This window comes from Homo sapiens, chromosome 1 (assembly GCF_000001405.40).
Source record: "Homo sapiens chromosome 1, GRCh38.p14 Primary Assembly".
NCBI lineage: Eukaryota > Metazoa > Chordata > Mammalia > Primates > Hominidae > Homo > Homo sapiens.
In genome coordinates, this window is record NC_000001.11 from 201,009,988 (window position 1) to 201,036,737 (window position 26,750).

The 26,750-nt window shown below is 52.6% G+C and overlaps 1 protein-coding gene and 1 long non-coding RNA gene across 17 annotated transcripts in view, besides 10 other annotated features; one reads left to right on the plus strand and one right to left on the minus strand.

The window, feature by feature from the left end:
• The window catches only part of KIF21B (kinesin family member 21B), a 54,325-nt gene extending 40,598 nt beyond the window's left edge, over positions 1 to 13,727 (minus strand). For all 5 annotated transcript variants that reach the window (NM_001252103.2, NM_017596.4, NM_001252102.2 and 2 more), the window contains exon 1: positions 13,356 to 13,727. In NM_001252103.2, the coding sequence (NP_001239032.1) occupies positions 13,356 to 13,396 (41 nt within the window). In that variant the 5' untranslated portion in view covers positions 13,397 to 13,727. The remainder of the gene's footprint in view (positions 1 to 13,355) is intronic.
• Positions 6,560 to 7,107: an enhancer, noted in NCBI's record as "H3K4me1 hESC enhancer chr1:200985675-200986222 (GRCh37/hg19 assembly coordinates)". NCBI's record gives its function as "activates a minimal SCP1, AML or CMV promoter by ChIP-STARR-seq in naive H9 embryonic stem cells {active_cell/tissue: H9 hESC(naive)}" and the evidence as "EXISTENCE:reporter gene assay evidence [ECO:0000049][PMID:30033119]".
• Positions 9,454 to 9,748: an enhancer, noted in NCBI's record as "tiled region #10908; HepG2 Activating DNase matched - State 8:EnhW, and K562 Activating non-DNase unmatched - State 5:Enh". NCBI's record gives its function as "activates a minimal TATA promoter and a strong SV40 promoter by Sharpr-MPRA in HepG2 and K562 cells {active_cell/tissue: HepG2 | K562}" and the evidence as "EXISTENCE:reporter gene assay evidence [ECO:0000049][PMID:27701403]".
• Positions 9,854 to 9,953: an enhancer, noted in NCBI's record as "active region_2306". NCBI's record gives its function as "activates an Ori minimal core promoter by ATAC-STARR-seq in GM12878 lymphoblastoid cells {active_cell/tissue: GM12878}" and the evidence as "EXISTENCE:reporter gene assay evidence [ECO:0000049][PMID:35858748]".
• Positions 11,104 to 11,253: a silencer, noted in NCBI's record as "silent region_1683". NCBI's record gives its function as "represses an Ori minimal core promoter by ATAC-STARR-seq in GM12878 lymphoblastoid cells {active_cell/tissue: GM12878}" and the evidence as "EXISTENCE:reporter gene assay evidence [ECO:0000049][PMID:35858748]".
• Positions 11,484 to 11,613: an enhancer, noted in NCBI's record as "active region_2307". NCBI's record gives its function as "activates an Ori minimal core promoter by ATAC-STARR-seq in GM12878 lymphoblastoid cells {active_cell/tissue: GM12878}" and the evidence as "EXISTENCE:reporter gene assay evidence [ECO:0000049][PMID:35858748]".
• Positions 11,922 to 12,529: an enhancer, noted in NCBI's record as "H3K4me1 hESC enhancer chr1:200991037-200991644 (GRCh37/hg19 assembly coordinates)". NCBI's record gives its function as "activates a minimal SCP1, AML or CMV promoter by ChIP-STARR-seq in primed H9 embryonic stem cells {active_cell/tissue: H9 hESC(primed)}" and the evidence as "EXISTENCE:reporter gene assay evidence [ECO:0000049][PMID:30033119]".
• Positions 13,134 to 13,183: a silencer, noted in NCBI's record as "silent region_1684". NCBI's record gives its function as "represses an Ori minimal core promoter by ATAC-STARR-seq in GM12878 lymphoblastoid cells {active_cell/tissue: GM12878}" and the evidence as "EXISTENCE:reporter gene assay evidence [ECO:0000049][PMID:35858748]".
• Positions 13,584 to 13,943: a silencer, noted in NCBI's record as "silent region_1685". NCBI's record gives its function as "represses an Ori minimal core promoter by ATAC-STARR-seq in GM12878 lymphoblastoid cells {active_cell/tissue: GM12878}" and the evidence as "EXISTENCE:reporter gene assay evidence [ECO:0000049][PMID:35858748]".
• LOC101929305 (uncharacterized) lies at positions 13,962 to 26,689 on the plus strand. Of its 12 annotated transcripts, none has more exons than NR_188462.1 (5): positions 13,962 to 14,098; positions 15,435 to 15,632; positions 20,591 to 21,244; positions 25,065 to 25,136; positions 26,301 to 26,689. It is a non-coding gene; the product is annotated as an uncharacterized LOC101929305 (long non-coding RNA). The 12 variants fall into 12 exon arrangements; NR_188461.1 differs by having other exon boundaries at positions 15,517 to 15,820; positions 20,591 to 21,378; NR_188460.1 differs by lacking the exons at positions 20,591 to 21,244; positions 25,065 to 25,136; positions 26,301 to 26,689 and adding exons at positions 15,717 to 15,820; positions 18,538 to 18,627; positions 20,136 to 20,560 and having other exon boundaries at positions 13,962 to 14,089; positions 15,517 to 15,632.
• Positions 14,295 to 14,452: a silencer, noted in NCBI's record as "fragment chr1:200993410-200993567 (GRCh37/hg19 assembly coordinates)". NCBI's record gives its function as "represses an EF-1alpha promoter that drives an FKBP-Casp9 reporter gene in an ReSE screen in HepG2 liver carcinoma cells {active_cell/tissue: HepG2}" and the evidence as "EXISTENCE:reporter gene assay evidence [ECO:0000049][PMID:32094911]".
• Positions 18,574 to 18,868: an enhancer, noted in NCBI's record as "tiled region #14143; HepG2 Activating non-DNase unmatched - State 22:ReprW, and K562 Activating non-DNase unmatched - State 20:ReprD". NCBI's record gives its function as "activates a minimal TATA promoter and a strong SV40 promoter by Sharpr-MPRA in HepG2 and K562 cells {active_cell/tissue: HepG2 | K562}" and the evidence as "EXISTENCE:reporter gene assay evidence [ECO:0000049][PMID:27701403]".
• Positions 26,690 to 26,750: the final 61 nt, after the last annotated feature.

Sequence of the window (26,750 nt, forward strand, 5' to 3'; positions counted from 1 at the left end):
GCAAAGCACAGGGCCAGGGCGGGGAAGAGAAGGAACTGGATGCTCCCACAGCTCTGGGCCACATTCCCAGAGCCAGGACTAAGTTCTAGAGGAGGCCAGAGCCTCTGCCAATGCCCATGGGGGCTGCAAGCAGGAGGCCGGGAGCTCCCCTCCCTGACGCCAGACCAGGAGCCCCCTTCCCAGATGCCAGAGCCTGGTAGACATTCTCAGGCTGGAGCTCTGCTTCCTTTCCAGGAGTTGGGCGGGGGAGGGCAGACCTGCATAGCTGGGGCTGACCAGGTCAAGTCCCAAGTTCCCTTGTGAAGGGCAGGGACCTCTAGAAAGGACGCCAGGCCAGCCTGGGGTGCGCTCCCAACCCAGATTCTGGCAGGCTTCCCTGTAAAGAGGAAGAAAAGCGGCATCAGGACTGAGAAGCCAGCCATGGACACAACTATCTCCATCCAGCCACCCCTTCCTTTCTCTCCCAAGCAGCCATCACCACGACATGGTTCCCATGGCAACCAAGCAGGAGTCAGCAAGCATGCGTGTACAGGGATTGGCGGAAAGCACCACCCCCACCCCAACTCCCTAAAGTAAAAGGGGCTGGGGGTTAGGCTCTCATGCCCATGGGCTCACACAAGCCAGCCCATCAGCAGGCACTTACAATGAGCTGCTTGTCAGGCCTCCTCTCCCTAAGCCAACACTCACCAAGAGAAGAAACAATGCCAGGGGCCAGGCCAGCACCCATCCTGGGCCCAGAGGCGCCTGGTCACAGAGTCTAGGGCCTCCAAGTCGCCACCCTGTCTCTGTCCCCAGCTGCCCCAGCCCCCAAGGCCCACTCAGAGCTGTAGGCTGGGAAAGGTGCTCACCTGAGCCTATTGCCTGCACTTCCACGGCAAGGGAGTTAAAGGGGAGTTAAAGGGGACTGGGGAGGTGGGGAAAGCCCAGCGGGGAGGGGTTGGGGGTGAGCAACACCAGGCTCAGTTCCTACCCACAGATGGGAGTCTGGGCCTTCTTCAGAAGTGTTTCCGGGGTGTGAACAGGTTCTTATAGGTCAGTGGTTCTCCCCTAAAAGGGATGGAAGCCCAAAGGAGGTCACCACATTTATCCAGCTGTCTCGCCCAAATTGGAATGGCAGCCCAGCTTCTTCGTCTCCCAACTGAATTGGCTTCTGCCTGGGAAGAGAATGGCTGATTCTTGCTCATCCTTCTGGACCTCCAGACCAGAAACTTGAGTCTCCAGTAAGAGCTCAGGGTCAGCAAGGCTCCTACCTCTACTTCTACCTCTACTGCTAATAAGGGCAGCAGACATGCACTGAGCACTCACTCTATGCCAGGCAGCATCTAAACACTACCATGGATTAACTCTTGGTCCTCACAACACTGGGAGGTGACGATTATGACCCTCGTGTATGGATGAAGAAGCTGAGATGGCACACAGCCAGAGTCACAGGTCACAGACAGTCAGGAGCAGAGCCAGGGCTTGAACCTATGCAGTCTGCATGCACTGCCCTTTCAATGGTCTTATGCTACACCGTCTCTAAAGACCAGGGTTCAGAGTGCCAGGGGGAAAGAACATCTCATATATGCAGGGAGAGAGAGCAAGAGCAACCTTAGAAGGAGGAGCGTGGCATTGCACACAGGTACTGAACAGGAAACTGTCTTTTAGACCTGGCTCTGCCCCTGGGCTCTTGGGACCCAAGGCTAAGCACTTCCTCTCAGAGCATCCAGGTATTCCTAGGTAAACCAAGTGCCTGGCCTGGGCAGCCTCTGAGGACCCTCCAGCTCTGCTGGCTAGCACCAGTTCCTGAAGACAGCTTCCCTACCACGTGGCTGCCTGAAGTGGGATTTCTGGATTCAGTTCAAATACCATTTAATTACTGTAGGCAGATGGCAATGCTGATGATTGGAGAAAATCGAATCATCATCCCTGGAGACAGTGGAGCAGGGGAGGGGGAGCAACAGCCCTGCTTGTCAGAGCCCTTCAATGAGAGGGGCAGCTTCTGCTTCAGCAATCAGCCCCCGGACCACCTGGGGAGCCTGCCTTCCAGGATCAAGACAGTGGGCAGAACAGTCTGGGGGAGAGGATATAGAGGAGGAGACCCCAGGGTTTTAGGGTCCAGGAGTTGCGTGGTCAGTTGGGCATTCACCCTGGGGCCCTTTTTTGGCCCAACACATCCTGAGATGAGGGTCTTTGTGGTCAGAAAGAGACGTCCAGCCCAATGCTGGTCCACTCTTAGCACCAGACTGCTTTGCCAGGGTGCAGGTGAGCATGCCTGAGCAGTGTCACCCAGAGAAACTGATACTGGCTGGGAGACAGGGGGGCATGGACCCTGGTTGAGTCACCAATTCCCCAAGCAACTTACCTGGAAGAGGGAGAGACTGTTGGACTGACTGAATGAATAAATGGAAATGGAAGCAAAGGAAAGCTAAGATGTCAGGGACGCTCTCCATGTGCTAGCGCTGGCTCAGGCACCTCCACAGGTTACCTTGCTTAAGTGATGCTATGACCTAGGGATTTAAATCCCCATTCTTCAGCAAGGAAGGTTGAGGCTTGAAGTGGTTAAGCCACACACACAGTAAATACAGTGAAGTTGGGTATCAACTCCTGATCTGGCTGACTGAATGCCCTTCCATTCCTCAAGCTGCTTTCTGTCAGAAAACTCTATGTATGTATGTATGTATGTATGTTTTTGAGACAAAGTCTCACCTTGTTGCCCCAGGGTGGAATCCAGTGGTGCAATCATGGCTCAATGCAGCCTCAGCCTCCTGGACTCAGGTGATCCTCCCACCTCAGCCTCCCAAGTAGCTGGGACAACAGGCACGCACCATCATGCCCATCTAATTTTTATATTTTTTGTAGAGACAACGTTTTGCCATGTTGCCCAGGCCTGTCTCGAACTCCTGAGCTCAAGCGATTCTCCCACCTCGGCCTCCCAAAATGGCATTATAGGTGTGAGCTACCACGCCCAGCTGAAAACTCTTAATCCTAAAATCACTAAATAAAATTCATCCCACACCACCTCCATCAGAGCCATGGGGGCTCTCTAGAAGGAGTCCTGCATGTCTGTTCACATATGCTCAGGGCTGGGCATCAGGCTTGCCCTGCCTTTGAGGGCTCACAGTTTGGCGGTGGCAGACACTGTCTCAGTCATCCTGGGCTCACTCTTTACCACACCCTGCCTAGTGGCAAATTCAAACTGACGCCCCACAGGTAGGAGACAAGAGGGCTGGGAGACATGAGACCAGGGTCCTTGCCAAGCCTCTGCCCTGGCTCTCTTGTGGTTTACGAGCCACTGCTTCCTTCTAGGTTACCTAGAAGGTCTGTTCCTGCTTTCAACTTTCTAAGAACTCCATTGCCCATCCCTCCAGCAGCCTCTTCTCCCGGCCCCACCCTTGGTGAGGTCACTTCTGTGGGCTGCCCTCAAAGTGACAGTGGCCTACTTGGCCCCAGATAAGCAGAAGGAAGAAGCAGTGTGGCAAGGATGGGCACCATCTAACAGTCCTTTTCCTCCCTGGGGGCATGGGAGGGGGGTCAAGGATCTCTAAGGTCTTCCTTTTTAAAACGTTTTTGCAGAGACAGGGTCTCACTATGTTGCCCAGGCTTGTCTCAAACTCCTGGGCTTAAGTGATCCTCCTGCCTTGGCCTCACAAAGTGCTGGGATTACAGGCATGAGCCACTGCATGTGGCCTCTAGGGTCTTCCAACTAAAATACAGGTCCTAGAGGCTGTGGACCAGAGCCAGGACTAGGGTGAGGCATTGACCCTCAGTACAAAATTTAAGGAGGCAAGGAAAAACCTCAGTAATCAAGATAAATTACAACTTAGTGCAATATTTTAAAAGTCAAATTAGCAAATTGTGGCCCACGGGCCAGCTGCCTGTTTCTGTCAGTAAAGTTTTGCGGCCCAAACATCTAGTGTCATTTCTGTCCAGGGTACCTGGAGGTCATCTCACTCCAGGCCCCACCCCTCCAATCTTCCGTCCATCCCTTCTCAAGGTTCTGCCAGGAGGGAGGGCCGGCTGGACAGCCCCACTCAGAAAGGCCCCCGGAATCTCCCAGAACAGAGCCGGGCCTATTTGCCACTTGGCAACCCGGAGGCTGAGCGGCGGGTAGAGCGGGCGCGAGAGCGAGGAGAAAGGGCCCGGAGCTTTTCAGAGTCAGGATCTGGCACAGGCAGCGAAGTTGCTGAGCTTCCTCTGTTCACAATTGAGCAGGAGCGGGTGTGATGTGGGAAGCCGTCCTCCACCCCCGGAGAAACGCGCACGCGGAGGCCAGGGACATGCGGGCGGCTGGGGAGCCCCTATCCTCCCAGGCTGACCCCACCCCCTGCCCCTGACCCGCTGGGTGCCTGCGGTGGCAGCGGGACAAAGGCTGCGAGCCTGGAGCACAGAGCTGCAGGAAGAGCTGAGCTCAGCGGATCCTCGGCTCTTAGGGGAGCCAGGAGGACAGGGCGGAAGGGGAGGACAGAGGAGACAGGGAGGAGGCAGCCCAGGGGTATGCTGAGAGACTGCCAAGGAGAGAAAACTGCAAAGGGTACCGACTGGGCACATCTGGGCACGTGCTGGGAGCCCGCACCCTCTCCCGCGGGCTTAGGAGGGGGAGGATGGCCCTAGCCGGGCCTCATCCCCAACCTGGTCCTTAATGACATCACACAAAGCCCACCAATCAGCCCTCCCAGGAGCTCTGCCCAGTGACCTTGGACTCCTAGGGGTTGGCTCAGCTTCTTAGGTGAAGTCAGTCCCACCCAATCAGCTGGCTAGGGTCCCTCCCTTAGTTCCTAACTAAGCTGCCTCCAAATCTTTACACTGAGGTCCCCATTGGTGCAGTCCCAGGCTCTTTCCACTTGAAGGGTCTGTCTTCTCACTGACGAGAGGTCACAGGCTATGGTATTAAAACAGCTAACCAGAATCCAAGAATTTCTTACAAATATGGTGCATGATCTGTGATTCCTGATGCCTTTTCCTTGCTAGTAATGGTAACACCATCACACTTGGCTTACTAAACTTCCTCAATTAGTCACCACCAACACATTTATAGAGCCAAGACTGCCTCTCATAGACACTATCTAGGGTGCTTTGCACATGTTAGGTCATTACATTATATCATTTAGTTCTAAGGTGGGTGTTTTTGCCCTTAATTTACAAATGAGAGCTCAGAGAGAAACCGATAACTCGGCTCAAGGTCACATAGCTAATATGCAAAAAGGTTTTCACCTTTATTAGCCATCAGCCCTGAAGATTCAATCCAGGGGAAATCTGGGGAGAACTGGCATGCTCGCAGCTGCCCACTTGTGTGTAATTTGCACTTTAGGGATTTTAGGCTGGCAGACACCCTCTTCCCTACCTCAAAGGCTTTGAGAAGAACCAGACAGCTGGACTAGAATCGCCTTTCAGATGGCCAAAATGTTAGTCCCTTCAGAAAAAGCCCCAGGGGGGCTAAAAGCATATCTGCTCTTTTCTGCTATAAGACCCCTGATGCCTTTCTGGAATCTTGAAAAGGAGCTCCTAGAAGCTGGTGAGACAGCCTAGGGAGGGACTGCAAAGTCAGCAAGCCTAAGGGGAAAAGCAATGTCTGCCCTGATTCCATGATCTCTGCTTGTGCCCAGCCTCCAATTGGCATGCCTGGCTCAGCCTGGGCAGTGGGGCAGAGCAGAGCCAGGCTGCTGTATCCTCTGTGGCGGATGAGTGAGTGTATGGAGGGGACACAGAGATAAGCCCGGTGATGGCTAGTCTGCCTGGCACACAGGGGTCACTTAGCCATGTGGTGACTTACCAGGCACCAGCTCTTCCTCATCAGTGAGAGGGCAAGATCAAAAGGGAACTCAGCTGTAGCAGGAGGGATTTAGATAAGCTAGCAAAAAGAACTTCCTGCCTGCAAAGATGATTAAGCCTGGGAGAGGAGAGGCTGGAGGGGTCTGTGCAGACTTCTTTCTCAGAAATCATTCGTCATTGATATCCCTCTTGCCTTGTTCTACGTGTTCTTCACCACCTAGGACTTATCTGATGAGGACACATACTACCTAGTACTTTTTAAGAGCCTATGTGCCAAGCTCCTTTATGTACACGAACACATGAAATGTGTTAAGACAACCCTGTGAAGCTGGGGATATGTGCCCCATGTTACTAAGGCTCAGCAGGTGAAATTTAACAAGCTCAAAGTCACACAATTTGTAATGGTGGAGATGAAATTCAAACCAAACCTGCCTGTGCCCAATCCTGAAGCATTCACCAAGCAGCTCTGCACCAGGGTGGGAAATAGCTTGGCTTGGAGAAAAACGATCCCTTCAGAGAATCTCCCGGACTGATCCTACGGACAGCTGCCAGCAGTGCCACAAGCTGTCTGCTGGGAAAGCGTTTTCCCTGTCTCATGCTTAAGAAAGCTGAAGCCTGGAGCAGGGAGAAGTACGGAGTCGGGAACCCAGGAGGCTGCTTCCCTGTCAGAGGAAGGCGGCTTTCCTCTGTGGCAGAAAGAGGACGTCTACACCCCCACTTTAATGAGCCTCCTCTCCTCCTCCCCATGGCAGCCTGCCAGCTCTGGGGAAGGCGGCTGGAAGCAAAATCCCTGCTCTCAGGGGAGTCTGGCTCCCAGACACCCGGGGGCTTTTAGCTGACAGCCCAGACAAAGCATCTTCCCATAGAGACCAGTCTTCTATAAAACAGGGTGGCAAGATCCAATTTGGGGTGCTTGCCCTTTTAGCTGCAGGGGTAAGGTGTGGGGAGAGCCCAGTATTATTGGGGGCAGTGCCATCAGAGCTCTGTGACAGCCAGAGGGTCTTGTTGCCCTCCCATTTGTCCCTCTCCTGGCCTCTCAGACCCTTCCCCAGGCCAGCCCTCCTGAGACTGCCCTCAGGACTCTGAACCCCCAAACAAGAAGGCTTTGTATTATGGAGCCAAAGAGCATGGGTTTAGGAGGCCTTGGCCGGCATGGTGCAAGCAGTCTGTCAATTCTCTCTGCCTGATTTTTGCCCCTAATCACTTTCCTGTCCTGGGTGTGATACTCCAGGAAAACCTACAGGAGGCCTTGGGGTGTCAGCTTGGGATGCTTGGGGTTCAGGACTCTGACCCCACCCCCTCCTCTTGAGTGTCCTTGACCTTACTAGGGTCTTGGCCACTGGCTTCTGAGTAACGCTAAGGGTCAGGCAGGCTAACAGGGGAGGGGGTGCCTGCCATGAGGCACCTTGAGAGTCCTGTTGTCTATGGCCCTCCAGGGCATCAGGATCTCAGCCGTGCAGAGGAATCGGGCCAGCAAGGAGAGTGGGGTGAAATGCCAGGGAGCAGGGATGTGCAGGAGGAGCTGAAAGAAGGGGCCAGTCCCTGTCCTGAGTTGGATATATCCCCAGCCTGCCATTGGCCACACAAGCCTGGCTGTGAGCAGGAGCCAGGAACTTCCTGGGCCAGGGTCGGACTCCTCCATCTCTGGGGCCTGGGAAGAGGGTAAACCCAGCCCAGGGAAGTACTGCTCAGCTGTGCTGCAGCGCCACTCTCCCTGTCCCACCCCCATCTCAGGGCATCTGGCAGGGGTTTCCCATGACCTCCCCAGAGACAGGAGACGCTGCAGAGTCAGGCTTCGCCCAGAGCCCAGAGCTGTGACGGTATTGGCATCTGCATCTGGTGGGGAATGGCCAGTGGGGACTGGGCCCTGGGGATGCTCCCCTGCTGAGGAATGCAGAGCAACAGAAGGCTGGCTGTGGAGGGCAGCAAGCCTCTCCCCACCACACCGGCCCTGGCCCCCTGCCCACACTGCATGCAGGACAGCTCTCCAGGGTGCACCTTAAGTCAGCCTCAGGTGGGACCAGCCCAGCCTTCATAAAGGACAGGGGGCTTCACCTCAGGAAAGCAGAGGGATAGACACTCAGGCATTTGGGGATGGGATGGCAGCATGACCTCCTTTCCACACCCCAGAGCAGCTGGAGGTGAAAGAGAAAGTCCTCCAGAAACAGGGTACTGCAGCCAACACTGCTGCCGCCTGCCCTGGAGCTTCACATAGGGATTGAGGTGGGTGGATCTCTGGGGCCAAGGAAGAGCCGTTCCAGTCCAGCTTCCCTCATGGCAGGGAAGCAACCTCTGACCCCCACCCAGCCCAGGGCCCTCTCAGTGCCCCTCTGGCTGTTCTAAGAGGGAGGGGCACAGAAGACATTGCTTTCCTCCTCAATGTTCTCAATACTTTCTAGAGGGTAAAATGAAAGGCTAGGAGACCTAGCACACATGGGGTTCCGCCCTTTGGTGTGTGTGAGGTGGGGGGCCAGCAAAAGACTTGGCTGCCCCCAGAATATCCTTCCTGAGAGAGTGCCAAGGTGGAATTCAGGCAGGAAGACACATGCCAGGGATGGCTGCAGTGATCTAAGAAAGGGAGAATGTGGCTGGAGAAGCTCCCCAAACACAAACGATGACAGCACGGATTTAGGAGCTAGGACCATGGTGGTGCCAGGCAGCCCCATGCTGCTAAGCAATCCCATACAGGAGAATCTGGACAGCCTCAGCCCTGCCACACATCTGCACAGCACCATGTGCCTTTCCATTTTCACTTTCCCACATTCATGTTCACGGCCACTGTGTGTAGTAAAGCATTTGAAGAAACTGAGGCATAGAGACTTCAAGAACACAGCTAATTAGCACCTCAATTAGGAGGCAGCTTAGAGTTGCATGAAGAGCATGTGTTCACAACTGAGAATACCCTGGGTTCAAATCCAGCCTCCTCCATTTGCCACCTGTGTTTGTGCATCTATATGATGGGAATAACATCAATCACCTAGCCAGCTGAATGGGATGCTGTAGGCACAGAGTAAGTGTTCAATACATTATAGTGCTTAGCCACCTCCTGGTTCATACTCCTCTCCACCACACCATGCATTCTGCTCTAAATTAATATATTAATCAAAGGACTGGAGGTGAATTCAATTTACTAAATAGTTCACTAAAGCTTAAACTACAGAGACATCTCTTAGGTACACTTACATTAGGGCCCATTTTATTTTATTTTATTTTTGAGAAAGATTCTTGCTTAGTCACCCAGGCTGGAGTGCAGTGGTGCGATCTCAGCTCACTGCAACCTCCGCCTCCCAGGTTCAAGTGATTCTCCTGTCTCAGCCTCCTGAGTAGCTGGGACTACAGGCATGCGCCACCATGTCCGTCTAATTTTTGTATTTTTAGTAGAGATGGAGCTTCACCATATTGGTCAGGCTGGTCTTGAACTCCTGACCTTGTGATCCACCTGCCTCAGCCTCCCAAAGTGCTGGGATCACAGTCATGAGCCACTGCGCCTGGCCTAGGACCCATTTTTTTTAAAAAAACATTTTATTTATATTCAATTCCTCAGGAATCTACTCTGCATTTTGTTCCCTCCAAAGATTTTATGTCCGTCTTCCTCCAAGCCACTGCTCTTCACAAATGAACAAACCAGAACACAGCAGTTCCCATTTTCCAGTGGGTAAAACTGAGGCCCACAAAAGACAAACAGGGAAGGTGCCCCATGACGAAGCCAGTGGATGAATTGCATCAGTTCCTGCCCTGCCCTTTGCCCCCAGGGTTGCAAAAATAAGCATGCCAGGCACATATCACCTCTGCCACCTCCCTGGCCCAGGCCTGGGCCCCGCCTCACCTCCACTTGGAGGTTTTCAAAAGCTGAGATCCAATCAGGCAGGCAGGCTGGGTGGTGGAGGGGGAGGTTTCCGGGGCCTGTGGTTACTACACTCCACTTCCTTATGATGACATAAACCCTATTTCTGCAGCAGGAGGCCACCACCAAGATTCTCAGGTCTCCACACAGCCCACATGAGGCCCTGTATGGGCCTCAGTTTCTGAGATCTGTAAACTGGACACAGGTGGCATTGATTGGCATTGACTGGCTTTGGGACTCGGAAGGCACCCCAAATACCCATTCCCCCACAGTTTCTTCTGTCTTCTTCAGTCTTTCTCTCCCAAGCCACCACTGCTCTTGGTTCAAAATTCAGACAGTCATTGACCAAGATTTCAGAGTAGCCTAGAACTAGGGAAATAACTGCAGCTAGAGAACCCAAATGGGAGAGGGCTGGGGTGCAATCTAACATTGTCCCTTGGGTCCCTTGGATCCCCCCCAAACCCCTACCTATCCCCTACTTAACCCTGTAGTATCAACAGATGGATGCTGGGCTGGCCAAGCACCGCCAAGCAGACTAAAGGAAGGAAGCTTAGGGAAGCCAGGCAGAGATAAGAGGGGAGGGGGCTAGGCAACACTGAGGTCTCCCCTCATGGTGGGGGCTCAGAGCTGGGGACTTGAAAGGGTCTTAAACAAATTTGCCATGTGACTTAGCTTCCTTCCCCAATTTCAACTTTGCCAACTTGCATTTCTTAACAGCTACCCCTTTCTCGCCCCATTTGTCAGGCCTATATCTCTGCAGCCTGGGGCAGGTCACAGCTCCGCCCCACCTCTCTCTAGCCTTGCTACACACCTCCTCCCCCAGGTGACTGCCAGTTCTAGTCCAGCCCAGGAAGCTGAGAATCTTTACAGTACAAGGGGATTAATGGATAAAGGGATCACAGGGCAGGCTGGAGAGGCCAGCCTGGGAATCCCTTGGTGCAAAGCCGACTAGCCTGGGTTCAGGGACAGATGGGCCAGATTCCATCTAGCTGGGGAGGCCACAAGGTGGGGCTTTTGGGGTCTGCTCACCCCTGAACTTTCTTCCCTTACCCTGAGCCCCAGGTCCTGAAAGTTTCCTCCTCCGGCTCTCCAGGAGCCCAGGCCTTCACTGAAGCGTTTCACAGCCAGCCAGCTTCGATCTCTTCATCCCAAACAGATTGCAGGGCCAAGAGCCTTAGGCCTGGCACTTCTCACCTAGTCTAATAGCCCTGGGACCTCTCTCCTCTACACACACACACACACACACACACACACACACACAATCAGACCACACCTGTCTCATTCCTGGCCTTCCCTGTCTGAAGAGCTGGACTCCAGGCTCGCTATGTTATTCTCATGGAAATTCAGAAGGCACTTCAGTTGGATTCAAGAAAGGACTTCCAGAAAGTCAGAAAGACAGCTGAACCTGGCAGGAGGTAGTGAGCCCTGGGGCTGGACTAGGCCCTGGACAAGCCTTGCCCTTCCCATAAATGGTCTACTGTAGTGCAGCCCACCACCCAGTCTTTCAGGTGAGAGAAGTGATTTCTGGGGGTGCTGCGGGGGAGGATGGGTAGAAGAGGATCTAAAAACAAGGAAAACTCCCCCTACAGCCCATCACTGGTACCATCTGCTCTCCTTCCCAGCCCAGCCCAGCCCCAGCTCAGTCCTAAGCTCTCTGATTAGAAACTGGGTTCTGTCCAGGCATTGTCTGCTGTACACGGCCGGCTGCCCATTGAGGTCTGGCGTGTGCCGGGGCTGGGCGCTCATGCTGGGGTGGGAGGGGAGGAGTGGGCGGGGCCCTTACCTTCCCGGAGACCCTGAAAGCCTGACTTCTGATGCTCAAATGCCCCACCCCCAATCCAGATCAGCAACTGAAAGGCAAGGCGTGGGGGCACCCAGACCCCACTTAGGGCAATCTGACTGGGAACCAGAGATGACACACATGGTCCTGAACTGGGTGCAGAGGGCAGGCATGATCCCTTCTCTGCAGAAAGGGTCCCGGGAAGCTTCTAGAGGTGGCAGTGGGAAGAGAACATCAGCTTCTCCTCACTGTGCCAATCCCATGAGGCTCCCCGGGTGGGAGTCCCACATCTTTTCAGCCCCAGTCCAGCCTGGAGACCTGAACAGAGGTAGGGGGCCTTTGTTTAGCTCTCTCCAGCAAGATGGAATCTAAAGGAAACCCCCTGTGGAAAGGGCACCCCCAAGCCCCTTCCTTCCCAGCCCTCATTCACAATGGGTGGGGGCCAGAGCTTCATTTCCCTTTTATGGTGTTCTCGGACTCTCCCAATCTGCTGCAGATGCCATATTTACATTTCTCACTCCCACCCCCCAGCCATGCACCCCTCCCTCGACCTCCACAAGATCCTGCTGCAATGTCAGCCCCAGCAGCAGCCTGGCCCCGCCCCAGTCAGCCCACCAGGCACCTGCAGGGCTCCTCTTTGTCTCTGGCTGCTCAGGGCCAGGAAAGCTGTGCTCAAGTGATTCTTGAGTGCTGCCTAGGGTGCATGGGTGGGGGTGCCTCAATCTCCTTCCCTTCACCCAAGCACTGATCAGTGTCAGCTCCTCTTTGGGCTGCAGAGGCCTGGCCAGGTGGCCGTGGCAAGGGGCATCTGCCCTGGGGCAGGAAGAAGAAAGCTTTTTCATTGCCATCTCTGACTCTGTCTAGGAGCAACCTCCTAGGACCCCTGGAATCTGGGTCACATATGACCCAAGGGATCTAGAGACCTGAGAGACCTACCCTAGACCTGGACAATCCCCCGCCCCCTCCATCATACAGGGCTGGGGCAGAGATAGATGTTCTTGCCACATCCCTACCTTGGTGAGCAGCTCCAGATTGGCACTCTGCCGCCAAGACACCCCTCTCAAAGAGAAAAACCCAAAGCAAAAACTGGGAGAAGTGGTGAGGTGTGAAGCATCTCCACCCAGCACAAAGAACACAGATGGCTCAATTTCACAGCATTTCCTGCTCCTGCACCTTTGTGTACCCCTCCCAATAGAACCCACCCAGCCATGTCCTCTCCCTGTCTCATTTCTGCCGGCTCAAGTCCCGGAGCTGTTGAGAATGGAACCCCAGATAAGTCTAGGCAACCCTCCCCTGCTCAATTTTATCTGAGTGCCTGAGGATGGGGCATCTGCATCACACCCTCCTGCCCTCTCAGAGAGAAGCACCTCAGATACACCTCTTCCTCCCTTCCTAGGCCCATCTCCTCTTGGGACAGGACTGGTAGGATTCTCCCCCAAAGCCATTGACTTCCCACAGAAGGCCAAGGCATCATCCCAGCTTTTCCGTTGGTCCCCGCACCCGATCTTTGTCTGCAGATCTGGCTCCCAGGGTGGGTGTGCTGCCTTTGCTAGCTGGACCAAGAGCACATAACTAGCTGACTCGCATGGATGAGGGGAAATTTCCCTCTCTGGTATCCCCGTATGAGACAGCAGCCTCGTGGGGAGGCGAAGAGGAAACGCACAGACGCTCCGGCCTGGGCCAGAGCTGGGTGTGAAATACCGGATTTCCTTGTTTATTCGATTTTCTGATCATTAAGGGCTCCCAAGAGGGGCCCAAAATTACCACCCAAACAAAGCCACCTTCCAGTAGTCGGCGGGGTCGCCGCTCCCCTGCGGCAGACTGGCCAGCGCGCGGCGCCCTCCATCCCGTCCCACGCCGGCCCCTCCTCCGGGAGTGCAGGCTCCAGCCCAAGCGGTGCTCGCGCCCCCCGCCCAAAGCCCACGCGAGACAAAGCCCGAGGCTTCTCCGCGCGCCCCCTTCCCCGCCCCGGGTCCCTACCTGACGGCCACCTTGACGCAGCAGTCCCCCTGGCCGGCCATGGCCCTCTGGAGCTAGGGTCTGGGCGTGGATCAGAGGCGGGGGTCTGGGGGCCAATGCCCGAGGCAGCGGCTGCGGCTGCGGGAGGCGGGGGCGCGGGCGCGGCTGGCGGAGGCTGCGGCGGCGGCGGCTGGAGGTGACATGCTCGCGGGCGGCAGGCCGAGGGGCTCACCCGCGGCCGGCCCCCCGGGGCTGGGCCCGCGCGCCTCCTCGCGCCATCGGGCGGCGGCGCGGAGCTAGCTGACAGCCGGCGGCGCGACCCGCCGCTCCCTACGGCGCGGCACACGCGCACACACCTCCCACCCGGCAGCCACCTCCCGCCGCAGCGCGAACAAAGGGGGCGGGGGCCGATCCGGCCCCGAGCCCGCCCCGAGCCAGCCCCGAGCCCAGGCCGGGCCCCGCCCCGCCCAGGAGCCGCCAATCGAAAGCCCTAATGAGCAGTGGGGGCGGGACTCGCGCCTTTAAAGGGACCTCTTGGCTCGCGGCCACGGGGTGGCTGGGGGTAGGGGGCGGGATTGAAGGGTGGGGGTGGGGGTAGGGGTGGGAGTAGGGGTGGGGGCGCTGGACGCAGACCACGTTAGAACCTCGGCTCCTGGAGTAGCAGAACCTCGGCTTCAATGGGACCCTCATTTCATAAATGAAGAAACTGAGATTCAAAGAGGGGAACTACCGAAGGTTACAGAGCGAGTTCGTGGGTAAGCATGGTAAGAACCCTGGTCTCCCGGGGATCCCACAGCGATTGACGGTTTATAGTTCAAAAGAGCCAGGAAAGCTTCCCTTCTGCATTTATTCCAGTAAATTCGCCAACCCTTCTCGAAGGGAGTTCTTGCTAGCCCCTAACTAAAATTTCCCCCACCTCCACCCTGCAGCATCTTAAAGCTCATGTTTTAGTTGATTCCTGGCCAGGCTCCTAGCCCAAGACTAGCCCCTCCCTACTGCTAGACGACTGTCCCATTGACCTTTATGACCCACAGATGACCCCACTGGGCCTGGCTCACACTCTGCTTGTTGTGGCTGTGGGGCCAGAGGGTCAGTGTGGGAGGCCTGAGCTGCCCTGGGGGAAAGGAGGGAACAAAGGGGGCCCTCAGTTCCGAGCACCTGGGTAGAGAGGCTGGGCGGTGAAGTGGGTGGGGAAGGGAAGGAGGGCAGCTGCCTGCAGGAATGGGTATAAAGGACAAGGAGGACCATGGAGACTTTAACGCTGGGCCTGGATGGAGGAGGAGACCAGTGCTGCAAAGTCACAATTCCCTTCCCAGTCCATCTCCCTCCCTCTGAGCCCAGACGCCTCTTCCCTGCCCCCTGCCTCCCAACATTGGGGCCATTCACAGGGCCCCTCACCAGCTGCCCTCACTTCACCCAGCTCCCTCCCCTGGAAAGGGCCCAAGAGGAGGACCCAGCTGCAGCCCCAGATGTGGATGGGGATCTCTGGGGGAGGGGAGGAAGGGGAGTCTGACTCCAGGCCTCTTACATTACCCTCAGATGATGAAACCATGTCAGAGATTTTGGCAAGGGTGTGGACTGGGGTCTGAGGATGCATCTGTTGGTACCATCTTCCTCCCCTTCCCTCCTCCACTCACACCCCCCTCCCCGCCAATAACTGCTTCATGCAGTAGCTCAGATCCCTGTTTGGCTTGACCTATTAAGGTCAAATCAAAACCAAAGATAATTTCAAGGGCAAATTTCAAGGGCCAATCAACACATCCTTTTCATCCCCATGGCAAACAGGAGGAGCACCGCCAGCAGTGCCCCCATGATGGGGGCTGGAGAAGAGGTCTTGGTGGTATCCTGGACCTTTTATTAGCATTTGAATCTAGAGGAAGCTCTCCCTGGGGCCAGGGGATCACCTCTCCTGGACCAGGAGGTTAGCAGAATGTTGCAGTCATATCCTGCAACATTCCTCCCCATCTTCCAACCAAAATAATTCGTGGGGAGGAGACTAACACATATGGACCACCTACACAAGGTATTTTATGCACATATTCTCATTTTTTCCCTATAACCTTGTAAGCTAGGCTTTTTTATTCTTTTTAAATTTTGCAGATGGGGAAACTGAGCCTCACATGTATGAATTCCAGCATATAAGCAACAGACTCCAGATTTGGACATGTATATCTTATTCCAGGCTTCCCAGATGACCACCAAGGTGGAAGGGATGATGATGTCCAGGCAGAAGGGAGCTAGGCCGGCCCAGGCTTTTCCTCTAGGCACAGCGGACTCCAGGTTCAGCCTTCCCGGATGGTAATGTTGCATTCTGAAGAGCTACTTTCCCGCCAACTCATCTCTGGACTTCTCTGGGGCCCAACTCTGGTTTCCTGCCTGCAGGAGGTCCCCTCTGACTTCCGACAGTAGATGACCCTTCTGACTCACAGTTCTACTGCTGGGAAATGCCTCCAGAGCTGCTGCCCACCCTCTCTGCATCCCTCCAGGTCACTGGGTGTTGAGTCAGGGGAAGCAGGGATACACACGGGCGGGAAACTCAGGTCTCCTAAATGTCAGAGCCTCAGGACTTCGGCTACTCAGAAGTAGCTCCCTCCTGGGCCACCAGGGAGCAGCAGGGCAGCCAGCATCCAGACATCCCCCCTGGGTTCTGCTGCTCAGAGGCTAGATGGAGAACCAAGGTGGGAAAAAGGCTTAAACCACAGCGTGGGGAGATTTAGGTTAGATGGGTCAGAGGAAGTTTAGGACAAGCCTTGCCCTTTTCAGTTTCTGTCCAGCTTCAGCACAGCCACTGCTTCCTCTCTTTGGTTTTTACCCATCCCCCTCTCTCCCATCACCTCTATCCCCTTCCAGCTTTCCTTTCCTTCCCTCCTTCCCAAACCCCAGAGTTTCTCAGGATTAGCTGCCCGTGTGCCTATCTCCCCCACCCCCATGCTTTCCTCACTGTCTCACAGAAACAGGCAAACACACACACATGCATACAACCATGAGCTGGCCCTGAGAGTTCTCTGACTGGACTGGGGTTGGAGCCCCAGCTCTTGTCCTGAGCTGAGGCCCTTCCCCCAGGTATCTTGGGGCTTCCATCATTTCTCTTGACAGGAGCTGTGGGCGTCTGGGCAGATGGGAACCTGGGGGAGGTGTGGGGAGCCCTCTCTGAGGCAGGAAGCTCCCACGCTACTGTAGTTAAAATAATCCGGCAGCAACTTGGGGCAGCCATCTGGGATGCCCAGATCTTCCAGGACACCCAGCTCTCAACAACAACCCTATAGGAACAAATCAAAAACCTAAGAGATACTTATAGGCCCTGGAAATGTCTCCCAAAAGTGGCCTGAACTTGAGCCCTGTTTCCTTTTATCTTCTTCAGGTTAGCACTGGGCATTGGCATTTGCAAAAAAACTCTAAGCATTAAGCAAAACTTGTAGGAGTGGAAGATACAGCGTTCTGGACCTCCAGTCCTAATACCCAGCCACACCCCAGCAGCTATGCATGGTTCCATGGGAGAGCAGGCATAGCCCATCCTGCTGGCATATAGTCCAGCCATATCTTCCAATGCCCACCTGGAGACTAAGCCGAGTTCTGCCCAGCAACAGGAGCTCAGAGCTCCAGAGAGCCTCTCCTGGGGTGCAGACTCAGGAGATCTTAGCTCAGGAGCAGACTTAGCCTGACTTCCTCTTTTATAGGAGGAGACAGACTTAGTTACAGAGGAAACCAGAGTTGTTATAAATAGCAAGGAAGGGAGAAACCTGCTATGGATTACAAACACGCCATCAATCTTAAAACAAACTATTTTTAGTTTCAAATAATAACGAGAGTCTAATTAATGCTCTGTATAACTTCAAATGTGGGATCTTTATCTGCCTTTCTACTTTGTGATGCTTTCTAATACAGTATTAGGGCCAAAGGCAGGAAGAGATGTGGGCAATTCTCAATGTTACCAAATCCTAGATATGGAAAGAACCTGAGAAATTTAGTCCAGCCCTTTCATTTTCAGTGAAGAAACTCAGGCCCAGAGAGGTAAAAGGACTTGTCCAAAGTTGCATAGTAAGGTAGGGACTGAGCAGTGACTAAAAGCCTAGTCCCTGTACTCCAGAAGCAGGACAGTTTCCACAGCAGCACAATAGAACCCAAAGGCTAAACATCTGTGGTTGGGCAGTTGGTGAGTTTATAGCCTGGATAAAAGTCAGGTCTAAGCCAGGTGTGGAGGCTCACGCCTGTAATCCCAGCACTTTGGGAGGCTAAGGCAGGTGAATCACTTGAGGCCAGGAGTTTGAGACCAACCTGGCCAACATGGCAAAACCTCATCTCTACTAAAAAGTACAAAAATTAGCCAGATGTGACGGCACATGCCTGTAATCCCAGCTACTCAGGAGGCTGAGGCACGAGAATCGGTTGAACCCGGGAGGTGGAGATTTCAGTGAGCCGAGATCGCACTACTGCACTTCAACCTGGGGGACAAAGCAAGACTCTGTCTCAAAAAAAAAAAAAAAAAAAAAAAAATTCTGAATGAAATAGCAAAAGACAGCCCAGAAGCTGAAGTGTGGTCTTCTGAGTCACCGAGTTTTGGGTTCACATCCCAGCTCTGCAACTGACTAGCTTTGTAACCCTGGGCCTGTGTGTAACTACTCCAAGCATCAGCTCCCACATCTCAAAATGAGAATAATCACACTCACTTCATTACAGGACTATTATGAGGTTTAAATGAGGTAACGTGGGTCAAGCATCCAGCACAGTGCTCAGCAAAAAATAGATGTTAATTTCCTTCCCATTTCCCTCGGATTCTCTACCCCTTCTTCAATGGATTCTTATCCTCTAACTGGACAGAAGGGCAGATTTGTCATAAAGCAGTCACGTGAGGGATAAGAAGTCTCACATGAGTGTGAATGAGGCTGGGGGTGGGGGCGTAGTTTATGGCAATGAAGTTTGCATGGCACAAGTGGTCAGTGTCAGATCCAGAGGGCGGGAGAAGACAGATTTGCAGAAAATTATCCATCCTCTGCTAACCACTCAGTGACGGGCCTCGGGGTTCAGGGTCAGTGTTTACAGGGGAGGAGGGAGGCTGGGCATGCTGGGTCCTCATTGTACACAAATACCCCGGGCCTCAACCTCACCCATGTGCCACACTGTGCCAAGGGTGTTACATAACATTTCTCTTTTAATCCTCACAACAATCTATGAGGCAAATACTGTTCTCGTCCCCATTTTGCAGAAGAGGAAATGAGCTCAAAGGTCACTTGGCTAGTGTATAGTCATTAGTGCTGTCTCCAAATATTTCCGGCTCTCTGCCTTCTGGCACAAGGTAGGACTGCATGTTCTCACTCTTTGATGCTAGCTGTGGACATGTGACCAACTTTAACCAATAAAACGTGGCGGAACTGATGTGCGTCAGCTCTAGTGGAAGCATTAAGACTCTGGCACCCTCACACCTATGTTGTTCATAGAGTGTAAATGAGAAATAAACTTTTATTGTTAAACCACTGAACTTACAAGTTGTGTGTTGCCACGGCAAGCCTGGCCTACCCTGACACAGTTAGGAAGAGGCAGAGCCAGAGTTCGGAGGCCTGGTCTGTAAAGATGCCAGATGGCGTAAGTACCTTCCAGAGACTGACCTGCTTGCCTAAGACACACAGGAGCCCCTTTTTGGGCTACTTAGAGCCCTGTGGGGCAGGGGAGGAGGGTAGGCAGCCTCCCTACCCTTATCTCTTTCCCCCCGATTTGACTGTGATTTTGCGGGGTTTCCAGGTTGCTGAGCCGGGGGGACTGAATAAATGAGTGTGGTTTTGTATGAACCCTTAGGGGCTCATAGTCTTCTGGTTGGCTGTGCTGAGCTACTTATCAGGACTCTCTAGGAGACACTCTGAGAAGTAATTGGAAAATTCCGACTTCCTCTCTGCCCATCACCCAACTAGGAAATAGTTGGGTATCAGGACACGCCTGCATTCACTCCCAAATCAAAGATCGACCCTGTCAAGTCACTCTTTGCTTTGGGACTCAGTAACTCCTCTGTGAAATGGAGCCACTTCAAAGGGTTAGGGTAACTGCTCGGAGATTCTAGAGGAAGCCCATTTCGGATTGTATAGATCTTCTCAGAGGTGCCTGCAAAATAAGAACAGCTACTATTTCTGAACATTGTGCTGGGCGTTGCACTAAATGCTTCAGATCCATACAGTCATGGAATGCTCACACAACCCATGGAGGTAGGAACATAAAGAAAACCAGGACACCAAGAGGGGCACAAGGTCACACTGCAAGTGGTGGGCAGGGTTCAAACTCAAGCATGCTGCCTGCCAGTTTCGTCCTCTGCTGAATTACAGGGACGGAAAAGGATGAATCTTGTCTTGGCAGCTGCTGAGCTGCCAAGAAAGTGAGCACAGCTCCCTAAGGAATTATGTGCTTCACGTGTCTACATAAAGACTTGCCCATGAAAGACCCCAGCAGCTTTGTCATAGGCCCAAACTGGAAACACAACAAATGTCCATCGACAGGGGAATGGATTAAGAATCTGTGGTGTATCATATGGTGGGATACTATTTAGCAATAAAAAGGAATGAACTATTGATACATGATACAATATGGATGAATCCCCAAATTAATTATGCTCAGTGAAAGAAGCCAGACCAAAAAGAGCACATGCTGTACAATTCCACTGATATACAAATTCTAAAAAATGTAAACTATAGTGTCAGAAAGCAGATCATTGGTTGCCTGGCAAGGGGAGGGAACTGGGAGGGGTAGGAGGGCATGAGGGCATGAGGAATGTTTTGAGGTGGTGGGTATATTTATTCTTTTTTTTTTTTTTTTTTTGAGACGAGGTCTTGCTCTGTCACCTAGGCTGGAGTACAGTGGTGCGATCATGGTTCACTGCAGCCTTGAGCTCCCTGGGCTCAAGGGATCCTCCCATCTTGGACTCCTGAGTAGCTGGGACCACAGGTGTGCACTGCACCACCATGCCTGACTCATTTTTGTATGTTTGTAGAGACGGTTTCACCATGTTGCCCAGGCTGGTCTTGAACTCCTTGGCTCAAGCAATCTGTCAGCCTCAGCCTCCCAAAGTGCTGGGATTACAGGCGTGAGCCATTGTGCCTGGCATATTTATTGTCTTGATGGTGGTGATGCTTCCATGGGTGTATGCTAATACATTTGTCAGACTAATCAAATTACACACTTTGAATATGTGCAGATTATTATACATTAATCATATTAAATACCTCAATAAAGCTGTTGAAAAGTAACTTGTCCCAACTTCTTCTTTGTTCAAACAGAGGTGCAGAGTGGTTGGTGACTTCTCCTGGGCCATGAGGACAGTCAGTTAAAGTCCTGGCTACCTATCCCTGAGCCCACATATCCTATGGCTTCACGGAAGGTCCCACCTCCCAAGAAGGGGCTAGTGGCAGGGAAGTTGAGAAACAGAGAGACGGAAAGGTGGCATAAAACCAAAGAGGGGGACACTGGAGAGGAGCCAGCAAGAGGCCAGGCTGGGGATGTCAGAGAAGAGGAAAACAGAGATGAAGCCACAGGCCTGGGGACAAGGGAAGATGAGAGACAGGAGATGGAACCCCTTCCCAGACCTGGTGATGAGGAGGAGGCTCTGAGCAGTCCTAGCCAGGCCCCAGAGAAGCCATTCCCTTCCTTTGACAGATGCCACCTGTGTACGCCCCTGCCCGCGAAGAAGTTAACAAATCACCACCACCACCCTGCCCTGGCCTGGTTGCTGTTGACGTTCAGTCTCCAGGATGCATCATTTTCTTGGATTTTAATAGATAATTGCCTCGGCCAGACCCTGCAGAGCAAATTGCCAGCAAATGTTCATTGAACACTTTAAAAATCGAGGGGAAGAGGAGAGGGCTTGGAGGCAGCATGTGGGGAGAGGTCAACCTCTAAAGTGCCAGCTCTCCAGAAATGCAGCCGGAATGAAGGTTTGAAGGGATGGTAGTGAATGGAGCACTCCAGGCAGTGTGTGTGCTGAATCTCAGGGCGGTTTTAGGAGCACTTCAAAGGCCTTTTTGACCAAGATATTCACGTTGGCCTGAGGTGAAACAACTCTTAAAAAGTTAGTCTGTGTCCTCCCTGCAACCCTTGTATTTCCTGACACTTGTATCCGTAGACAGAGGAGACCCTTTGCCTTAAGGAGAATTTGGGAATTAGGATCTAGTGAGGATGCGGAGAAGTAGGAAAAGGTCCTTTTTTCTCTTTAACTTCTAAACTCGGAGGATCCAAATAGCAGGCCAGGACTGGGTGGAGCAAAGACTTTAAGTCATAACCAAAATTAAAAAGAACGTAGAGGAAGAGGCCCTTTTCTCCTACCCTCTAGTGATGAGGGTCCCTTGGCCTGGAAAAGGGGAAGGAGGAGATAGGGGGCTAGGCCTTGAAGGAAGTCAAACCCTAAGACAAGAGGATCAGATTTGGGGTGCTGTAAGAGGCGAGGGAGGTCTTCCTGGAGAGACAGTCAAGCTCTGACAGTGGCTGGTGCTAGAGTGGCTGGGCCCCCACCTGCAGACCACTCCACATTATCACTGAGTCAGCTTTCGCCTCCCCGCTCAGAGGGGACTCAGAGGGGGACCTCTCAAGGTGGTCTCAATGAGAAGAGGTACAGAAAGCCCCCATCAATTTTGGTCTGTATACTGCCTAAGAACCACCCTCCTTGGTAAGCCCCCATCCTAACCCTTTTGTGTGGTAAAGACACATGTAAACTGTCCCAAAACAAAAGACAGAGAGCAGAGACTACCAGAGGGTGAGTGGAGGTACTTGGGTGGGTCTGGCTAGTGGGGAAACACCCTCATTATACCAGGTGAAATATAAAGTTACCATTTTGTAGACAAGAAGGCATAGAATATTGGCAATTTCAAATGATCCCATCTAATATGTTCTATGTAGCAGTCTTTTGCATTTGCCCACCTTTCCTCCCTCTCTCCCTCCCTTCCTGCTTTCCTTTTTCCCTTCCTTCCATTTTTTCCTTGCTAGGAATACAAAGTTGATAAAGATTCAATGCCCGCCCTTGAGAAACTCACAGTATGCTTGGAAAAAACAAAATACAAACCCCTAATTAGGATATAGTGTAATAAATGCCAGAATGAGAGTTATCAGGTGCTCTAAGAGCACTAAGGAAGCAGCAAGTAAGTTTACTTGGGTGATCAGAAAAGACTTGCAGGAGGCACTGTCAGGCTGAGACCCAAGGAGGAGTTTGTTGGGTTCAGAGACACTGTCAGTAGAAGCCTGAGAGTGTGTGGCCTGTGCAAGAGGGAGTTGTTGAGTTGTGTGTGGTTGGGCTGGTGCTTGGCAGGGTGTGCAAAGGGTTTCAGGCCAGATTAGTGGAGGTTGAGTGGGGATTGGAGGGTAGGGGTGGATTGTCATGTGAGCCTCACAAGAATACAAGAAGTAAGAGGCTTAAGAATAGTGGCCAAGCTCCTGCTAGACACCTGGCTTCACCATTTCAGGGCCAAGTGACTGCAACTAATTCACTCCTCCTTTCTGAACCTCCGTTTTCTCATCATAAAATGAGATTAATAGTAATACCTATTTTATAGGTGTTGCAATGATTACATGATATGAAAGGCAAAATGCTTAATGAATCAGGCTTAATGTATGTTATAGCCATTATTGTTCTACAGATGAGGAAACCAAAGGGCAGAAACATTTTTAGGAGAACATACAAGAGGGAATGGGAATTTGTATTCTCCAAGTCCAGGGCCTCACTCTGCTGCACCCTGCACGTTTCAGGACAGCCTTTCTGAAGCTTGGTTGAGGGAGCCTGGGGTCTCTTCCTGGTTCTTCTCATGAACTTAGTGATGTGAGGTACATGGAGTTCTTTCCTTCCCCAGGTCTTCATTTACCTTCTTCCCACCATGGAGTCTCCTCTTTCTTCATTTGACTTTTTTTATTTATTTGTTGAGATGGGGTCTCACTCTGTTGGCCAGGCAGGAGTGTGATGGTGCAACCATGGCTGACTGCAGCCTCGACCTCCCAGGCTCAAGGGATCCTCGCACCTCAGCCTCCCAGGTAGCTGAGATGACAGGCACACACCACCATGCCTGGCTAATTTTCTTTGTTTCTTTTTCTTTTTCTTTTTTTGTTTTGTTTTGTTTTGTTTTGTTTTGTTTTTGAGACAGAGACTCACTTTGTCACCCAGGCTGGAGCGCAGTGGTGTGATCTGGCTCACTGCAACCTCTGCCTCCTGGGTTGGAGCAGTTCTCCTGCCTCAGCCTCCCGAGTAGCTGGGATTACAGGTGTGCACCACCACGCCTGGCTAATTTTTGTATTTTTAGTAGAGATGAGGTTTCACCATGTTGGCTAGGCTGGTCTTGAACTCCTGACCTCAGGTGATCCACCCACCTCGGCCTCCCAGAGTGCTAGGATTACAGGCATGGGCCACCGCACCCAGCCTCCTCTGAACCTTTCAAACCTTAGTGTCTGTCTCACCAAGGTATGTGACACCATCACGTTTTCAGCTGACACTCAATACCAGAATCATCGCTTGCCCCTTGTATTTGTGGCCAGTTTATTTTAAAAATGCTTCTGTGCTTTGGTTTCCTCAACTGGACTTTAAGTTCCATTGAGACACACAGTTATGGACCACAGGGGAAAGTAGCCATGGAATTAGAAGGCTGGAGGGCACATCCCAGATCTGCCACTTACCAGTTGTAGGACCTTGCCTGTCAGTGGCCTCATCAGGAAAATGACAGGAGGATGACCTGTGGTGAGGTTGGCACTGTGAACTGTCAGCCCCAAGGCTGGGGTGACATGGTACTAGGGATCAGATGCCAGAAGAATGGGGGCAAGACCTTGTGAAATAGGAGTTGGGGTTAAGGTCAGCCTTGTGTTGGCAGTGTCTCCTCTAGCAGTCTGGGGCAGGAGCCGGCCTCTACATCCACGCCAGTTGGTGAGAGCTGGCAGGGCCTCTAGGAGGACGAGGCCTGGTGCTGAGGTGTGTGGGCTGCCCGTTGCTGCTGCACCGTGTCCCCTAAAGTGCCCGGGAACCCCCAAGGTTGGCTTCCTCCTGTCTTACAGGTCTGACCCCATCACTAGCTAGCATCAGACAGAATCAAAACAACAGCTTCCTTCCCTACCTGTGCCAGGCCCTTCCCCTGTGACATTCGTATCTCACAACCACCCTGGGAGTAGGAATGACTTTCCCATTAGGTAGAGTGAGGAGCAGAGACTTCAAAAGGTTATATGAACTGCCTGACCATCACTCAACATGGACACAGGGGAAGGGGATTCGGGCTTCCAAGGCTTTGCTCGGAAACACCTTGCAGACAACAGCCACCTCCCTGCCTTAAGAGCCCAGGAGAGGCAACTTGGCAGGAGTCCCTCAGGGCCAGGGAGCTCCTCCCCATTCTGAAGACATACGGGAACTGGGGCCCACCATCTTCCACCTTTCCAGAGACCCTCCAGCTGAGCTCCGTGCCCCCTAGATGGAGGGCTCCCCCAGCCCCCACAGCCCCAGCATGCAGCTTTGTGTCTATCCCTCCTGCCAGCCACACCCCGCCCCTTCTGGCAGATCCCCCCACCCAGCAGCTGGGTCCCATGTCTGCAGGGAACTGTCAGGGAGAAGACAGGGATCTGGCACACACTGTCCCTGGCCAGTGCCCCCAGGTAACAGAAGGGAGCCCACCTGCTCCTACGGGTACACTGTCTCTGTCAGGGGGTCCTGCTGAGGGGCGTCTGTCTTCTCTGTATTTGCCCACTTCCCCTCCCTCCCACTTCAGCCCTCATCCTGCCACAATTTGTTCCTTTTAGGCTTTATTTGAGGAGCCTGGCAGTCCTATAAGGGGAAACCCACCTATTACTTCAAGCAAAGCTGATGCAGAGGTAGGATTTTGCACATTCTGATAAATTACAACATCTTATATGTTGCAAAGGAAAATGCCTGAACTTTTCCATAGGGTGAAGACCTAATAGGAAAGTTTCTCAGAGCCTGTGTTTATGCATGTTATCTGTTAGTTAGGCAGGGAGGGACGGCATGGATTTGACAAATGGTGTACAGTTAAGGACGTGGAATTGGATGCTAAACTGCCTGGGTTTGATTCCCACCTTGGCTCTCTTATGAGTTGTGTGGTTAGGCAAGTTACGTTTGTTCTCTCTGTGTCTTTTTTTTTCTTTTCTTTTAAGAAGGAGTTTCACAGTTGTCGCCCAGGCTGGAGTGCAGTGGTGTGATCTCAGCTCAATGCAACCTCTGTCTCCTGGGTTCAAGCAATTCTCCTACCTCGGCCTTCCAAGTAGCTGGGATTACTGGTGTACATCACCATGCTAGGTTAATTTTTTGTATTTTTAGTAGAGATGGGGTTTCACCATGTTGGCCAGGCTGGTCTTGAACTCCTGACCTCATGTGATCCACTCACCTCAGCCTCCCAAAGTGCTTCGATTACAGACGTGAGCCACTGCACCTGGCCCTCTCTGTGTCATTTTTGCAAAGTGAGGATGATGATACCTTTCTTAATTGTTAAGAGGATTAAATAAATTAATATATGCAAAACCTTTGGAAGAGGGCCTGCCATATAGTTAGCTTTTTTTTTTTTTTTTTTTTTTTTTTTTTTTTTTAGAGACGGGGTCTTATTTTGTCACTCAGGCTGGAGTACAGTGGTGCAATCATAGCTCACCTTGAACACTTGGGCTCAAGCAGCTCTCTCACCTCAGCCTCCCAAGTAGCTAGGTCTATCAGATCGTGCTACCATGTATGGCTAATTTTTAATTGTGTGTGTGTGTGTGTGTGTGTGTGTGTTTGTGTGTGTGTGAAGACAGGGATCTTGCTACATTTCCCAGGCTGGTCTCGAACTCCTGGCCTCAAGCAATCCTCCCACCTTGGCCTCCCAAAGTGCTGGGATTACAGGTGTGAGTCACTGCGTCCAGCCCTAGTTGGCACTCTGTATGTGGTAGGCATTACTATAAGATGTTCAGATCCCTCATAAATAAGAGTGTCCTTTTATAAAACTTTACAGCATAGACTTATGTTCCATTTTATCTTGTCTTCCCTAGAGATGAGCCAATTGAGCAGGAGACAATGTAAGCAGCTGTGGGGGTGTCGAGTACTCCCTCCTGCCTGTGGGAGCTGCACCGTGGAGTCTAGCTTGTCACCCTCCGGAGGCAGAGCCCCTCCTCCCTGCCTCCTCTTGGTCTAGATGGACAGCCATGGCAGCGGAGGCTGCAGAGCTGAGCAGGTGATACTGGGCAGCGACCCTGCTGCGGGCAGCGTCCACACCCCACAGCTCTTTACTGCATTTATTTAACAAGCGACATTGAGCCAGCAATCTCTGCTGAAAAGTGCTCAGCCCTGGAGAGAGAACTGTGAACAACGTGGACACAGCTCCTGCTTTGTGGAGCTTGGTGTCTGACTGGGGTAAAAATAAACAAGCAGTTACAACACAGCTACGATCCCTACTGTAACGGAGGAGAGAGGGCGGCCACATTTCTGGGCCAGGCTACAGA